Source organism: Homo sapiens, chromosome 11 (genome assembly GCF_000001405.40).
Source record: "Homo sapiens chromosome 11, GRCh38.p14 Primary Assembly".
In the NCBI taxonomy this organism is placed as follows: domain Eukaryota; kingdom Metazoa; phylum Chordata; class Mammalia; order Primates; family Hominidae; genus Homo; species Homo sapiens.
Window position 1 is genome coordinate 113,501,654 of NC_000011.10, and position 18,655 is coordinate 113,520,308.

An 18,655-nucleotide genomic window follows, 5' to 3' on the forward strand; every position below is an offset into this window, starting at 1 on the left:
AGAAGCTAACAACAAGACAAGAAAACCCTAAATATTTAATAGATAAAGTAAACTGAGGAGCAGGGTAGTCACTACTGAGCATCACATTAAAGATCTAGGAAATCAAGGGAAATGCTTTAAGGAACAGAGCCAAGACACAAAAACAAATTAATAAAAGAAAAAGATCATCAGCTTGGAAAAAAATCTGGGGACCTAATAAGCAAAGAATAGAAGATTCAGAAGAAGAGAGGAACGAATGAAGAAGACAATTTCTCCTGAGCTTCAGATAGACTTGAATTCGCAGATTGAAAGGATGCAGAAAATTCAACTCAGGACTTATGAAAATAGATTCACACCTATAAATAACCTAGTGAAATTCCTAAAATATAATATTGAAACTTCTTATAGGGTGAAAAAACATTAACAGTTTCCAAATTGGGTAGGTAGGGAGTAGGAAACATGCATGAAAGAGAATCAGACTAGCATAAGATTTCTCATTTGCAACACTGCAATTAGAAGGCAGCAGAAATTAGCTGGCCATGGTGGCACACACCTGTAGTCCTAGTTACTCAGGAGGCTGCTTGAGCCTGGGAAGTTGAGGTTGCAGTGAGCCATGATTGCACCACTGCATTCTAGCCTGGGAGACAGAGTGAGACCTTGTCTCAAAAAACAAAAAAAAAGAAAAAACGAAAAAAAAAAAAAGAGGAAGGCAGCAGAGTGACAACTGTTCTAGAAACCAAGGTTCATCTTGAGAGAGATAGATATGTGGAAGTATGCAAATAATGGAAAAATGATTTTAATGTCATAGTAGAAGTTATCAGTGTAATTATGACTGTTAGGAATGGGAACATAATCAACAACAAAATCAGAAAGCATAATAAAACATCACAATTAACAGGAATAAGAGAATAAGCAGAAATTCAACTAAGCCAAATATATGAATATTTCCTGTGTTTGCCTTCCCAATATTCATTTCTCCCTTCTTCTGCTAACATTACCCAGATGTTCTTTTCACTCAATAAACACTAATGCAGCACTTGCTATTGGTGCCATGTGCTTTTCTAAGTTTTTCACAAATTTTAACTTTTTTAATCCTCCTAGTAGTTCATTTTACTGAAGAGGGACAAAAAGAAGGTAGAAATAGGCACTTGACCCAAGATGAACAAACTGTGAGCACTTTATTGAATGTTCTGCTAGAATTATTGTTAAAAAGATACTTTCTTGGCTGGGCGTGGTGGCTCACGCCTGTAATACCAGCACGTTGGGAGGCCAAGGCGGGTGGATCACTAGGGCAAGAGATCGAGACCATCCTGGCTAACACAGTGAAACCCCGTCTCTATTAAAAATACAAAAAATTAGCTGGGCATGGTGGTGGGCTCCTGTGGTCCCAGCTACTTGGGAGGCTGAGGCAGGAGAATGGCGTGAAACTGGGAGGTGGAGCTTGCAGCGAGCCGAGATCGCACCACTGGACTCCAGCCTGGGCGACAGAGCGAGACTCCGTCTCAAAAAAAAAAAACAAAAAAAATGTTGGCAGGAAAAGAAAGCATTACCAAATGTTCTCTTAGAACAAAGAAAAGTCAACTCTTAAAAACTGTTCCTCCATTTCCAGAAGTTCCATGATTCTACCATTCCACAGAAGAAATCAAATACCTTCACATGAGCAACCAGCACAGTAACAATGGCATTTAACACACATGGATGCACCCCTACATGTTGACTCAGAAATTACACTTTGGAGACTCTTTTATAAAAATAAAAATACCGGCCAGGCACGGTGGCTCACACCTGTAATCCCAGCACTTTGAGAGGCTGAGGCGGGTGGATCACCTGAGGTTAGGAGTTCAAGACCAGCCTGCCCAACATGGTGAAACTCCATCTCTACTAAAAATACAAAAATTAGCCAAGTGTGGTGGCAAGTGCTTGTAATCCCAGGTACTTGGGAGGCTGAAGCAGGAGAATCACTTGAACCCAGGAGATGGAGGTTGCAGTGAGCCAATACTGTGCCATTGCACTCCACCCTGGGCAACAAGAGTGAAACTCTGCCTCAATATATATATATATATATCTCAGTACCTAAGTGTATATTTGCTTATTTCACTATTGCCTGTAATGACCAAAGGACACAGAAAAAAACTGGAAACCAAGTGACTATCCATTAGTAGAAGATTGGTTGACTAAATGGTGGTTCATTTGTGAAATACTATCTTGCTGTGGTTTGAAGGAGTTAAACCTACTGTATATTGTTTGATCCACACTCTTAGCCACCACCCAATACTGTGTCCCAACAAAATCTATATTAGAAAGAGTATTTCACTTTTATAATGAAGGACGAATACAGATATAGTTTTAAAAGATGAAACAAACAGGTCATCTCTCTGCTGAGACTCTTGCTGTAATCTAGTGGCCTTACTCTCCAGGCACATTCCTGCACCCCAGCCATTTGGAAGAGGGAGGCTGGGCACCCACGACTAGCCAGAACTGCCTTCCCCAAATTCAGACAGCAGAAGCAAGGGAGGACCCTGGAGTCAGGCCGGGAAGGCAAGCAGAGGGGATAAAATGTCATCAGTTCCTCCTGACAGGTGAGCAGTGGTGGGAAAAAAAAAAATGGAGCTGGGATTTGGGTCTGATGAAGAAACTAGGATTTGCTCATTGAAAACTCAGGTCATATGGGGCCAGCAGAACAAGGAACAGCAGTGGGTTAAGTGAGTAGGAAGACTTCGGAGCCAGAATAACCTGGGTTTGGAAATTCTGGTTGTTCCACAACCAGTGAGGCTAGGCAGCTGCCTCACCCTATTTTGTCTTTTGTCAAATGGGAATAATGACATTTACCTCCTAGGTGTGATGAGAAGAGTAAATGCAGTGATGAATGTAAAATAGACACTGCAGATGCTCAACAATAACTGCCATCATTATTTGCATCTGGGTATGTATCCATTCATAGCAGATGCTCAGCAATGGCCACCAGCATCAGCATCATCACAGTGCTTTCCTAGGCTTCCCTGGAGACAAAAAGAGAGGGAGAAGGTTTTCTCTGCCCTCCTTGCTCCCTGCTCCATAACCCCAGAACCTCCTTGTGTTTCCTCTTTTATTATCTGCACGCAGCTGAGGAACGCAGCCTTTAAACAGCCTAAATGGCAGGAAGCCAAGGAAGGCACCATCACAAGAGTGTCCTGGTAATAACTGGCCTTGATTCATTAATGCAAATGGTTTGAGTGTGCACTGTGCCGATGAAGACACCAGGATTTGAGAACCAAGTTTAGTTATCTCTTCCAGGGCTAAGTTTTGATTGGTGTATGTGAGAGAAAGAGAGACGGGGAAACAGAGACAGACAGAAACACACACACAGAAACAGAGACAAAGGCAGAGCCAGAGACAGAAGGAGGGAGAGAATACTGGCTTGCTTTACCCAAGAGTAGAGCAAAGAGGGAGATAGTATCATGAAGTTCAAATGTCATTCACGAAAACCAGAAAGTTATTACCCTCATGTTCATGCAGATCGATCCTGTAGGTATTTAGATAGAAAATGCTCTGCTCTTGATAAGCTGTTTGGCTCAGTCATCCAACTCTATTGTGTCATCTGAATCTGGTTGGATAGCTAGGCAGCAGGGGTGGTACCAGTGGACTGGTAAATGTACAGGACCTGAAGATCAGAGGGTTCTTTGTTCATTCCCTCCCAGACAGGGTGAGCCACAGCTACCTCCCAGACAGAAGGAAAGCCTCTTTTTAAAAGATCCTTGAAGCCCCTCTGATACTGCTTGTCACTCGGACTCTTTCCAAAGAAAAGAAGTCTCCCAACTTTCTTGCTTATGTGCTCACTGCTCTCAGGATCAAGAAACTCTTCCCCTGAATTTCCACGGTGATTTTACTGTGTGTTAAACACTCCCTCCTTGATAGAAGCAGAAAACAGCGACGTCCCTCTTCTCTGAATAAACTGTCCCTCACAGAACTGCAGGACATCTTTCTGTCTTCCATGAAAAAGGTCCCAATCCCAGACTTCACAACTCTGCCCTAATCATAAACACACCTCTCTGTCCTGTCCCTGTCTCTTTCACCACACTTCAGGCCCACTAACACGGCAGAGATGACAGAAGAGGCGAAAATAGACAGCTTGCATGCAGGATTAGAGTTGGGGGTGATGTCTTCTGTTAACTGATGCTGAGTGCTGACTCTCCTGGTATCCACGTGGGCCTTGGTCTTTGAGACTAACCCGATTCTTTTATCTCACCTGGCGTCCTGAACACCCTATTGTCTGCCTGTCATGTCTCTTTTCTTTATAGCCCTCACCTATTTCCTCACCTATCTATCACCTTTATTCCCTCACCTGTCTATCACCTTCAAGTCTCTGTTAGCAGCCACAGTGGCCCTGGTGTGTAGTCACTGAAAATATCCCTCTCCTAGTAGGCTGGCCAGCCTCTTTCAGCTTCACCACTTCCCTCTCATCACTTCACACTAGGAAGCTGAAGTTAGTTTGATTTTATCTCCCTTGGCAAAATCGTAGCTCCGTGACTCCATAATTCAAGGCAGCTGCCCTGGGTTGGCCTTCTCATTCTGTCTATTGCATAACAAGCTCCTTTGTTCCTGCCTGAGTGTCGACGTTGCTTAAATGTGACAATGCTCCCTTTGTTCTTCTCCTCCCAGTGCATCCACGTCAGCGGTTCCACACCACTCCACCATGAAAACCAAATCAGCAGAGGCCCCCTGGAAACTGATGAGTGATGCCTCAGAAACTCACCCCAGATGCTAAGGAAATGCCCATTATTGGCCCCTTCTTTGTTGTCTCAGAATTGCTTTAGGGCCTTGTCACTTTGTCAGTCACACAAGTAATGAGCTGTTAGGTCTCACCTACCTCAGCCAATTTCATGGTCATTTCTGGACTCACTTAAGTTTCCCTAGCATTATAGATTCCCAAGCAAGACAGTGACCTGAAGAGGTCATCGGATCCATCTCCAGCTTCCAGCCTAACCAACTGCCTGTCCATGGTCTAAGGCTACTGTTCCCTTCAACCTTCGTAAAGATCCCGGATGAAGGAGGTATTCTATTCCCATTTCACAGATGAAAAGAATGAGGCTGGGTGAGGACACGAGGCTAGGAAGAGGTGGCACTGGCCAGAAACCCAGATGAGGGGCTCATTTCCCTACCTTAGAATGGCCCTACAGAATTAGGAAAAACAGTTCAAGACCATTTTCTCCTCTGCTTCTCGGCTACCCCTGACGAGGAGTAATAGGGCTTGAAAGAGGGCCTATGGTCCAAGAAGTAACTGAGTCCCATGATTTAATTCTGTGAAGCAGGGTTCCTTGGGGAATGAGGGCAGAAGGTAAGCATAACTATTGTGTTGACAACAAAACCCCAAGATGTTGCAGATAGCACAGTCCCTGGAAGCCAGGGCTTTCCTCTCAATGTCCCCTAGTATGGGGGAAAGAGAATAGAAGCACTGGTGAAATACAAACTCACAAGTCTCCAGCCCAAGCCACAGCTCCCCATTGAGGTCTTCTAGACAGGGAATCAGTCCAGCAGAGGAGCCTGGAAATGTAGGTGATGATTCCAAGTCTCTCTTGCTAAAGTTGCTGGCTTCCTGCATATTTGGATCCTACAGCTTAGCTGCCTCGCTCTGTGAGATGAGACTCCCTGAGTTTGGTTGGGAGCAGGTCCCCCTCCCTAAGCTAAAGAATTGGTGGGGGTGCTGATATACTTTGGATGTTTGTCTCTCCCTACCCTGCACCCCCACAATCTCATGTTGAAATATAATCCCCAGTGTTGGAGGTGGGGCCTGGTCTGAAGTGTTTGGATCATGGGAACAGACCCCTCATGAATGGCTTGGGCCATCCCCTTGGTGATAAGTGAGCTCTCACTCTGAGTTCACATGAGAACTGGTCTTTTTAACATGTGTGGCACCTCCCCATTATACACACTCACTCTCTCTCACTCCCATTTTTGCCAGATGAGGTGACTGCTTTTGCTTCACCTTCTGCCATGAGTAAGTTTCCTGAGACCTCCCCAGAAGCAGATGCCAGCACCATGTTTCTTGCACAGCTTACAGCACCAGGAGCCAATTAAACCTCTTTTCTTATAAATTACCCAGTCTGATATTTCCTTATAGCAACACAAGAACAGCCTAATACAGGGGGTTACCTCCCCCATTTTGACCTCCAGCTCCCTAACATGACTGTTAATGTCTTGATGGAACATGCAGGTTTGGGGGCTAGTTAGGCTGGCAGGTTTTTTTCTTTCCTTTTTTGTTTTCCATTAGCAACAAGAGCTGCTCCCATAGCCAGGCTCTCTCTCTCTCTCTCTCTCTCTCTCTCTCTCTCTCTCTCTCTCTCAGCACTTGGAGAAATGCATGGAAACAGGGTCACCAGCCCTTCAGCCACCCCTAACCCTCCCACCCACCAAAGCACTGCCTATTCTCCTGCTTGGCAAGAGCATAAAACCAGGCTGACTGGGGCTTGCAAGCTTTCATAAGAGAAGGTGGAGTGGGGAGGGAGGTGGAGACCTGGGTGGGGTGGGGGGTGGACAGGAGAGAGAAAGAAGGGGAGAAAGGAGGGTTGAGGAGAGAGTGGGGGAGGGAAGAAGGAAAACGGAAAAGAAAGAAGGGGGATGCTGACTGATAAAGCAAGGAAGGAGTAAGATGGGAGAAAAGGACAGATAATAACAAGTGCTCTCTGTGGCAGTGCCATTTGTTTCAGAGCCGGGTTGTGCATGTTTCTGGCTCCATGCTCATGCAGGATTGGCTGAAGCTGACAATGGTTTTCCTGGGGGTGACCCAGGCTGAGCAGCAGAAAATAGAAACTGTTCTAATAGTAATGATAACATTAATAAATAAAAGAAACTAATGTCGAGGGTAATTGGGTTGCAAGAAAAGCTTGCTGCAGTGAGAGAGAAGCCATTTCACTGCCCATTTGACTTCACTTGGTGTCTAGTGAGGGCATTTTAAATGCCTTAGAAATGTAGTATTTTTAAGCTAGGAGAAACCTCGGGCATCTTAGGGGTTGTTCAACCCCCTCATTTTACAGAGAAGTCTCAGAGAAACTAAATTATGTTCTCAACACCACTCAGCAAGTTAACAGCAGACTCTGACCCGGGGAAATCCTGACTTCCAATTGGAGAAGCAGCTTTATAGAGCTGAGAGTCTGAGGTCTTTGGAGTTAGCTCTGAGTTCTAATCCAGTTCGGCCCCTCTGGCCCAGCAGGAGAGACTTGCTCCTTTAGAGTTTCCTGTAAGGGAAGGGTTTTGAGAAATATTGCAATAGAAGAATGAATGTTTCTCTTTTTTCATCATGAGCCTTGGTCAAAAAGTGCAATCCCTTGAGTATAGCAGGCACCATAATCTCTCCTCATGGTGTTGAAGGCATCACAAGGACAACTCTCTAGATTAGCCCAAGATCCCAAAAAGCCACAGGTCAGAGGGCATTCTGGATCTTTCAATGAGAAGAACATATTATAAAGTATTCCACCCCACAGCTGGGACTGGACACTTTTGCCCAAGTTACATGATGCTTTACCAAGGTTTTCCTTTTCCTTTCCTCATCCCAGGTCTATTTTCATCCCTCCCCATCCGTCCACCTCACAGTGTAGGGCTGCACTGTCCAATATGGTAGACACTCACTAACGTGGCTATTTAAATTTAAATTCATTAAAATTAAATAAAATTTAAAATTCAGTTCCCTGTAGTTGAAGAGTGACGTGTAACCAGTGACTACCATATTGGACAACACAGTACAGAACATTTCTATTACTGCAGAAAATAATAATGAATATTAATGGTATAGGCCCACTTCTGTGGTTTGGTTGTTATGTTTGTCTTAACAGTTTCCACTAAAAATTGCTGCAAGCCCAGGCATTGGCTGGTTTGCAGATCCCTGAACTTGAGGACAGCATTGCTTCACATTCCTTCCTGACTGCTCGCTGACTGTTTGTTGAGGGCACTGCAGGTGCATGCCCCTGCGAGCGGGTCCTGTGCCTCCTTCTGGAGTAGCAGATGAGTAGGAAGGGGTAGCTCCTTGCTGCCTGTAGTGTACTGACCTGCTGGTCTCTTTCTTTCTTCATCTTCATCCCTGACTTTCTCTGTTACTTCCCCATGTCCCCAGTGACTGCAGGTTAAATGGCTTAACCAATTCTTCAAGCTCCAAGGACCTGCTGGGTTGAGCTCATCATGGGGTTGGGGGGATGGGATTGATCACCAAATTCCTAATTGACTCATCCCTCCTCCCCACTTTCCTAGTTTCCCTCTCCTCACCAAGACTTCAATTTCCAGTCCAATATATGTGCTAACAATGAGAGATCAGCCACAGCTACCTGCAAATATGAATCCCAAGAGAAAAGCCCAGGCTCATGTTTCCAGGCAATTACTGGTTTCTCCTAGAAAGAAAGGAAAGGAGAGATAGGGAAGAGGAAAGAGCTTCCTCAAGTGCCGTTTATTTTGCCAACTGAGCGAATGGAAACAAGACTAGTGGAAGATCATAACCACCAATTTCCTCAACCATACAGAATGCTCATCTGTCTTGGCTTCTTTAGTTCTTGTTCCCAGCTAAAACTCCTTCTATTCGCTCAGATGTCTTATTTGTTCACTCATTCATTCACCTACTCATTTTCCCAACCAAAGATTCTGATTTCTGCCTATCAGAAACACCTGGGGAGTCTTTTTCAAAGCACACAAGCCCAAACAATAGCCCAGACAAACTGAATCTGAGTTCATGAATGATGGGATGGGGGTAGGGAGGGAGGGGCACAGAGAGTGGAAGGGGAATAGGGCCTGGGCTTGTTTGTTTTGCCAAACATTCCTGAGTTATTCTGTTGCTGGCTCTTGGGTAGGAAGCCCTTCATTCATTCATTCCTTTCTTCATCACTCATTCAGCAAACTTCCCTTGAATGCAAAGGATACATTAGCTGATGGGTAGACAATGGAGCTGATGCTCAAATGCACAGGTTCTCAGGCTTGGCTACACAACAGAAATACCTTGAGAACTTTGAGTATCCTGATGCCCAGGTCATGCTCCAGAACGATTCATCAGAATCTCTTGAGGGAGGGACTCAGGCATCAGCATTCTTTAAAGTATTTCATGTGACTCCAATATTGCAGCGTCGGGATGGAAGAAGTCTATGAAATCATCATGGGGAGGTTGTCACTTAGCCTTTTTGAGGAGATCAACAAAGCTTCCCTATGGATGGACACAGTCACAGTGAGCATCCTAGCCAGCTACACATCTTTAGTATCCTTCACTGAGCAGGAATTAGGGTCAACAAGATGGAGAGGACTGACCCAAAGCACAGTTGAAAAGGGCATAGGTGTGAGTGCCATCCAGAGAAGGAAGAAGTCTACTTCAACCCCTCAAGTTGTTCAGAGCATAAACTTGAAGTAGCCTCGCCTTATTAACAACATGAAACCTGTTTCAAAACAAGATGCTTCTAGGGTCACAGAGATGCCACCATTTCCAGGGGAGTGGCCATTGGATGGGGGCAGGGGTGTCCATCTCTCACCTCACTCCACTATTTTTACTTTTTTGTCAATATCTTTGTCCATGCTTTTATCAACATTTTTTGAGCACCTACCCTCAGTCAGGCACCTTGCCAGACGTTGGAGACCTAGAAATGAAAAAGATTTGATTCCAGGCTGGGCACGGTGGCTCTTGCCTATAATCCCAGCACTTTGGGAGGCTGAGGTGCGTAGATCACTTGAGGTCAGGAGTTCAAGACCAGCCTGGCCAACATGGTGAAACCCTGTCTCTACTAAAAATACAAAAATTATCTGGTTGTGGTGGCAGGCACCTGTAATCCCAGCTGCTTGGGAGGCTGAGGCAGGAGAATCACTTGAACCCGGGAGGCAGAGGTTGCCGTGTCATCGCACTCCAGACTGGGCGACAGAGCAAGACTCCGTCTCGGAAAAAAAAAATAAAAAAATAATAAACACACACATACACACACACACACACACACACACACACACACACACACACACGATACTTGGTTCCAACCCTCAGTGAGCTCATGATCTTGGGTAGGATATAAGACCTGGGCATCTGGTCTCAGTTTCTTTTACCACACATTGAGGGCATAATGAAGGAAAATCTCTGAGGTTCTAAAAGGCCCTAATGTCACACACTTCTGTGACACTCTGATGGGGGTTAAAATGGGGAGATGTCTTTTGCCTCTTAAGCTGACTTTTCTAGGCGGCTAGTGAATCAAGAATTTACTTTTTTGGTGTTTTGAGGCTGGTCCAGCTCTCCACTTCTAGAAATCGAAGTAAATGTAAATCACATGTCTATAACCAAAAATGTGGCTCTGATGAGAGACATGCATTCTGCTGAGCCTGGAGTAGATGTGTGGCAAGACCCAGCCCATTCCCTTTCACTCTTCAGGGATCCCCGTCTCCTGTCTGTCCCAACCCAGGAACAGCACCATGTGAGAACTTCTACCTGTTGAGGCATTGCCCTGTGCATTTCTACTTACAGAGTAGTTCGTTTGTCTATGTTGTCATGTTGCAAGCCCAAAGTCTGATCAGTTTGCTTCTGCCCAGCAGCTCTTAGAGATGACCCCTCCTCAGGAAGTCCTCACAGGCCATTAAGGGTTTCTCAATGCAGGGTAAGAGCCTTCCAAATTTGAAGGAAAAGTTAGCGGAGTTCACATTCTGTTCTGCATGGCACCAATTCCCTTCTCTTTTATCATACAATTTCCAAAAACCGCAAAAGGAAGGCTATGCTATAGTTAGGGCGGGGGTATGGGGGGGCGCAAGAATGTTAGAATGGAGCAAGGACTGGGTTCAAATCCTAGCTTCTTTACTTATAATTAGGCTGAGCCAATATGAAGTTGATGATATTTTTCCATTTTCCACTCACAAAAGCAGTAATTCCATATGTGTCAACTCAAAATAACTAGATTAATTTACACTCTCTTTGTCTCAGTTTGTTTATCTGTAAAATATAGGTAAAGTTATGTATCTACCTGGATTAAGAAGCTCAAAAGAGATGAGTAGTAATGTGCCCAGACAGTACCTGAACATACCCCCTTTCATATAAAAATCGAATAGTCCAGATCTACTAAATGCCAGGCCAATGGTTCAAAAATGGCAGCCAGCATTATTATAATAGGTTCTTTGACAGCATTTTTTGACAGAATCCTGGTCATCCCTCCTTGTCCTAAGCTCAGGCTGCTCCAAAACCCATGTCACATCCACAGCGGAGAAGGCTCTGATGTGGCAAAGGACCTGGGTGGCCCAGACACAGGGTCCTTCTGAGCTTTACTCTTCCCCATGTGTGGAGCTGGAGCAAGCCACGCCCTGTAAGACCCTCGGCTCTCCCCCTGCTGCAAAGGTGATGGTCAACTCTTACCCCAGAGCTGATTTTGAGAATTAAAGGATTACATATATAAAGTGCCTGGTACAGAACAGAGTAGGTTGTTTATCAATGGCCTAAGGTCACAAGGGATGTGGGGTAGAGACTCTGATAGAAGCAGAGGAGGGGCTCAGGGAGGACAGGGAGGTGGAGGAAGCTGAAAGCCAAGAGAAGCTTCCTTACACACACACAAGGACACCACCTTGGGGAGAGGTTTCTGACTTTCGAGACCCTGAGGGAAGGGTCTCCTCCCACTAGAAACTGTACTGGAAAGTGAGAGAGAAAAAGTGAGCAACACGATTACTGTACCCACCAGCAACCAGATGCCGGATGCAGTGAAGCCTAGGAGCCTTAATTGGGGATTAGAGGCAGAACTTTATCCACGCACTGCTTTGGTGGCCTCATTAAAAGCTGGAAAATTCTCCATGCAGGTGCAGTGACATTTTGTGAAGTGACCTGGAGGCTGGCTAAGCCCTAGGGAGCATCCTGCCCAGGTCGGACACTGTGATAGCCTGCCCTTTCTCCTGCCCAGTGTGACAGGAGTTTACCCTTCCCATCTTCACCTCCTGCAGCACCTGCCATGAGTGACAGAGTGAAGACAGACTCACAAAAAGACTTGTGCCCATTTGGGGCCAGGTGATGATGCCAGGCAATCCTGGTGTCCCCATATCTCTTGTCTGCCCAGGGGCCACTTGGGCTGAATTTCCATCCTAAGTTTAGTAAAACCTCTTTAAAACTCAAAACCTAAAGGTTTATCTTGAAAATGCAAGGGATAATGACCCCTCAAGCTCTATTTCTCATGATGCAGGTGGTAAAATCCATCACCTTCTTTGATTGTCATACTGATCCTTAAGTGAGGCAAGACAGGAGATATTGTTCAGATTTTGCAGAGGTAGAAATTGAAGCTTGAAGATGGGGAAGTTCCAGGGTTGAGACCTGAGACCAGGTCTTCTGATGCTCTTATTCTGAAGCCTTTCAAGGAAGGACAACTGGTCCTCATCTGTTGGCTGGAGCTGGAAGGAGTGACCTTTGGCAGGTCCTGTTGACCAGGTGTCCAATGGCCTTTACCTCTGGACAGGGCAGCATCTCCTCCAGTCCTCCTGGTCCTAGGAGATTAACCGATCAGCAAATAATCATGGATTGAAACATAATTTGCTGAAGGTATCATGGAAGTTACAAAGAAGGATGATTCCTGCTCTGACTTACGGAGCTCATGGCCTAAATGGGGAGCCAAGACCGACAGACATTTATGATGAGTAGCGATAGTATCACATTCAGTTTATCTGAGAGTTTGTCCAATGTCAAAGCACGTTATTACTTGGGATTATAATCTCCTCTGTATCTGTCTGTATGTAAAGTATTTGGCTTGATATGCCCTGGAAAGCAAAAATGTGAAGCTTTTATTATTATTATTACTTAGATTATTTTTCACTGGACTGCACACTACTTGAGGGTGAAGCTATGTTTTCTTCATCATTGTGGCCTCTGCACATCATTTTGCGTGTTTTGAAGGAAATACAGAATTAATGTTTGCAAATGTTGAATGAATGAAGGTCATTTAAACTTCACAAGAAGTCTGTGGAGTGATTTTTTTTCCTGTAAAGACAAGGAATCTGAGACACAAGTAGGGAAAGTGATACGCAGTTAGTGACAGAGCTCCTGGGGCAAGAAGACATCCTATGCCAAGTGTAAAAGGAAGACATGGGAATTCTGCACTGGGAAGGTCAGGGAAGACTTCATGGAGGAGGTGTCACTTTTATAGGCTCTTTCATGAGTGAGTTTCAGAAAGGCATAAAAGAAAGAGGTATCAATGAGGGGGAACTGCATGAACAAACTCCTGAAGAGGCAGGAATGCACCGCACAGAGAAGGTTCAGTGACAAAGGGTCCAACCAGGTAGACAGGGACCAGGTCTGGGAGGGCCTTGAACATCAAGCTGAAGGTTGAGGCTAGGACTGGGGCACTACCTGGACCACTGTCCACCTGAGGACACCAACTTTGGGCCTACATCCATCCAATGTGGGGGCTCTGTGTCAGTGCTAGTGAGTGTCAGATCCGGGAAGCATGGGAGCACTTTCACCCAGGACAGGACAGGGCCGTGTGCTGGGCAAGGTGAGTCATTCATCATCACCAGGAAAAGGTGAGCAATCTGCCCAGGCTCTAATGAGAAAGATTGGAGCCCACAAGCACATGTTTATTACTGAAGGTGCCACATTAATTATGGACTCTGAAAGGGGAGGGAGAAGTCATGGGCTCACACTGGGAAGCAGAGGACTGCCATCCATCTGGAAGAAGTGGCCAGAGTGATGTGCATGCTACTCTGAGCCTGGCCCAGATATTGCTCAGTGCCCTGAGAAATATCCACACAGCTCGCATTCATTCATTTGCTCAGCAAATATTCCTTAAACACCAACTGGTCACAAGGCACCTGTGTAAAGGCCTGGGCTCGGTGCCCTGGAGGACCTCAGAATCCAGTGACTGTTGGAGACAGATGCACAATCAGATATTTGGGATAAAGTCTGCTGGGATGGAGTCGAAGTGTGGGCACATCACCTGGCCTGGAGGTGACCAGGATGGGTAGGAGTTAGCTACAGCACCCTTGTAAGGCACTTAAGGGGCTGATTCTTCAGCCTGTCAGCAATGAGAGCCACTGAAAGAATGGAGAGGGATGTCACATGGTCAGATATGCTCTATTGCACTGCACATCACCCCTGGCCACCCCTGCCTCCTGATGGGGCCTTCTCTCTTCTCTCCTTCCACCTTGCCTGTCCTGGACTCCATCTCTTCAGGGACAAGGGGTGCCAGAGTGCTATGCTATGGGGCTTCTGGAATTGGTTTGTCCACACCTGGGCATATGTTTGAGGGCAGGACGACCACAGGTGGGATTCATACCACATGGACTAAGTGCTCATTTTGTTGCCTCCATCCAGCCCCAAAGGGCTACGGAGGCTCCCCTTGGCCTAAGGTATAAGGCAGCTATAACAGACCAAGAGCCATCATGGGACCTTAGGATCAGAATGAGGGGGCTGGAGCCTCCTAGAGACCACCTGGTGAGAAATAGTGCAACAGCACTGAGCAGGACTCTGAAAGACCCCAGGTCCCCAGCACAGGAGCTCTGTCATCCTGATTCACCTCTCAGGCCTTAGCAAGCTCTCTTCTCTCTACCTGGTCCTCTTCTCCACTCTGCCCTCCCTCCTGCTCTCTCTTCTCATTTCCACTGCCCATTCACCTGGGCAAGGTAATCATTCCTCTTCCCCAAATCCTTGGAAACCAGAGCCCTGATCCTAGTGAGAGGTGGGAGCAGGATTAGGGAAAGAAGGATCCCAGACCAGAATTCAGAAAGCATGTGTCCAAGGTTCAGTTCAGTATTGAGTGCACAGCCTGGTGGAACTGTGAATGCATAGATGAGCTCTGGATCTCAGCACAGTCACTTTCTAGCTCTGACTTTGGAAGGGTCACTTTACCATCTAGGCTCTTCTGATTCTTCCACATCTGTGAAATACTGAGTAAAAAGTGTCCTGCATAGAATTGCTGAGATGATCTGTTGTGGTAGCTATGAGTCTAGCATAACACCCGACACTCAGGAAATACCAGGAGACTCTTAAGAAAATACAACTCTGAGATGTGTAAGTTCTTGTGGAAGGATCATATCCAAAGTGGGAAATTAAATCTCTTTGAGGGGGAAAGATCCTTTTCACAGCTGTGGACTTTCAGGATGGTCATTTTTGAGACACTTGCTTCCACTGAAATTGAGATTTAAAAAGGCTTAGCGATTTGGCCAAGGTCACACCACTGGTTCTCAACCTTGGTCTTCTCTCATTCCATTATTCAAAGACATTCAGCAAACATTCATTACATCCTCACCAGATGCCAGGCACACCCAGGATTCTCTCCATTATACCCTACCTGGGTACAGGGTGGAGGCTCCCCAAATGCCCGTCATGAGAGACCATCTTATTCACCCTCCTCGTCCCATAGGTGAGGAATAGAGCACTGGCAGGACACATCTACCAATCACTGGGCTTGGAAGTGTAGAAGCAATTCTCAGGGACCTGCCTCCTGATTCCTGGCCTGGGATCCTTCCTTCCCTAATATCTCTCCCTCCTCTTGCTAAGATTAGGGCTCTGTTTCCCAAGGATTTGAGAACAGCAATGCCTACATGGATGGGTAGTGGCAACAAGAAGAGAGGGAGGGAGGGCAGAGTAGACAAGAGGCCCAGACAGAAGAAAGAGAGCTTGTTAAGGACATATTATCCCCAAGACAGGAGAAGTGTTCAGCAGCGCCCTCCAGGAATATTCCAGGTGGTCCAGGTAAGGCTTAAGAAACTCCAGGTATGGAATGGTGGCAAAGCTCCTCCAGAGGGGTCTCCCAAGGTCAGCTCCAGGGTCCTCTGTCTGCTCTTGGTATTTGGATGTAGAGTTCCTACTTGCACTCCTGTCCATCCTTGGCTCCTCAGGGACTGTGTGGATAGGTATAAGGCAGAGAAATGGATATAGGGGAGGGAGGGAGGGAAGGAGAGACAACTATGCCTCCCGTCCAAATCCCATTCAAACTACTACCTCAGGGCAAACTAGTGTGTGTGTATGTGTGTGCGCATGCACGTGTGAGCGCATATGCGTGCACGTGTGTGTGTATGAGTCATGGTTCTTCAGAGAAACAGAACCAGTAGGATATGAATGTGTAAAGATTTATTATAAGGAATTGACTCACATGATCATGGAGTTTGGTAAATTCAAAATCTTCAGGGTGGGCCAGCAGGCTGGAGACCCAAGAGAGCTGATGTTCCAGTTCAAGTCCAAAAGCTATCTGCCATAGACCAGAAAGACCTGATGTTGTAGATGAAATCTGAGGATAGCCTGCTGGAGAATTCTGTTTTGCTTAGAGAAAGCTGGTCTTTCTGTTCTGTCTAGGACTTCAACTGGTTGGACAAGGCCCACCTGCATTATGAAGGGCAATCTCTTGACTTGAAGTCTACCAATTGATATGCAAGTCTTATCAAAAACACTGTCACAGAAACACCTAGAATAATGTTTAACAAAATATCTGGCACCCCATGGCCTAGTCAAGTTGACACATTAACCATCACTGTGTGTGGGGGTGGGGCGTTGGGGTATGGTGTTTGGTGGAGGAGTTGAAGGCCTAGTGTCTCTCATACCCAAGCCAGGAAAGGTTCCTGCCATGGAATTTAGTCATGAGAAACCAAATCTCATTGAAATGTCCTCTCAGCAAGTCTGAGGAGGTTATGCTTAGACCTGAGTGTGAGCATGTACCCATACCAGTGTAGACTGACTGTGTCATCTAGTGGGGGTCCTGTATGTTGGAGTTTTGTGCCATTCTCTGTCCAGGTCTCAGTGTCAGGGGGTGGATGTCGCCAGATAAGGGTCACAAGGAGCCCGGGGCTCTGTGCATCCTGGCCAAGGAATTGACTCCCTGTTCCTCACATCTGCACTGACTGCCACTTCCCCAGAGCTAATGACATGTCACTGTCCAGAAAAGCTCTCAATGTCCCGTTCAGGGCTCTCTTTGTGAGATCACACAAGCACTAAGTGGAAAGTGCCATGTCAAAATACTCGGTGTCAGGCTGATACATTAATTAGGGAGGCAGCTGCACCACCTAGCCCAAGATGCAAGTGATATATGTTTATCAAGCAAAAGAAAATGTCACCCAGGACACAGAGCAAATCCTGGTATTCTCAAAACAGGAGCTAGCTCCCAATTATCTAATGAGAAATGCCACTGTTTGCCTCACTCATCTGGTCTTGCACCTGACACTCTTTTACCTAAACTGCACTTCTCCTGTTGGAATTCAATCCCATTTCCTTTTTTTTAGTGTCTATTATAGAAATAAGGAATAGCCAGCTGCCCTCCATTCTCCAAGGCCTCTCTTTTCTCCCTAACTAGTGCTGCCACCTCTACCACACTCACGTTCCTATCTCTGCACTGTCTTATCTTCCCCGTGATCTATTTCCCATTCCTGTGCAGCGCCATGCTGGTTTCATTTCTACAGCTTTGAACTCATTTTCACATATGGCCAAATGAAGTTCCCTTCTTAGTTCTTCTTTCTGAAAATTGTTTTAGCTATTCGTGCCCTTTATTCTGCCATGTGACTTTTGGAATTATTTTGTTGACTTTCTGAAATATGCTTCTGGGTTTCTGATTAGAACTGCATCAAATGTAAAGATTAATTGGAAAGAAATGGTAGCTTCGCACTGCAGTCTCCACATTCATAAATATATTACATCTCTCCACTTGTTTGTTTTCATATAATTTTCTCCAGCAAGGTCTTGTACTTTTGTGGTTAGGTTTATTGGTTTGGGTTCCCCAAGAAGCAGCCTCTGAGTCAATAGTTCAAGCACAGTTTATTGAGAGGTACAAGAAATGTGGGGAGAGGTGATACAGGGGAGGAAGGCAGGCAATAAAGGTTGCATTAATAAATCAGCTTCCCAATGGGTGACTGGAGCTTAATCCTGCAGGAACATTCTGGGAAACAATACAGTATACATGCTGCAGAATTATTTCAGCCAGGGGCAAGGGAGCTGGGATATTTATACCCCAACCTCCATCACTCCTTGGTTAAGGGTTGCCCTTGGGAAGATGTTAACTCCCAGGTGCTTCTGTCTGGGGCATGCAGGCAAATAAGTTCCCACCTCCCTGCCCTGAAGATGAAGGAGCTGGTGTCACAAAGAAAAGGTGAAGACAACCAAAGTGGTATCAGCACAGGATCCACAGCATCTGCCTTAGGCAGCTTACAGGAGAGATTATCTTTTTCTAGGAGGAAAACTAAGGCAATGGGTGAAGACAACAGGCAGCTCTACAGAGGTAATAGCTTCCTATATAGTCAAGCTGCTGTAGGAGGTTGTAAAGGCAGCCCTGCTAGCAGTTTTTGAGCAGAAGCTGGTGGATAGGTCAAGGATGTGTAGAAGGGATTCCATCCTTAACAAGTTTGGACAAGAGCAGCGATTCACAGCCTTTTTCTACAGAGGTCTCCTTGACAATGCTACTAACCTTAGACCCATACAAGCATAATTTCCAGCTCTTTCACCCAAGAAGGGTATCAGAATGCAAGTTACAAACTATAACTTTAGATCCACTGTAATTTATGAGGGTTTTTTGATGCAATGAATCATTTGCAACTTTTATTACTTGGTTGTTTGCCCCCAGCTGTGTGCAGCACTCACTCTGACTCCTAACAACACACCAGCTGTCCCAACCACCCACTGATTGGGAACGTCAGGGCCAGACGCTTTCTGAGGGTCTGACTCATGTCACTATTACTGAAGGTGCCACATTAATTATGGACTCTGAAAGGGGAGGGAGAAGTCATGGGCTCATGCTGGGAAGCAGAGGACTGCCAT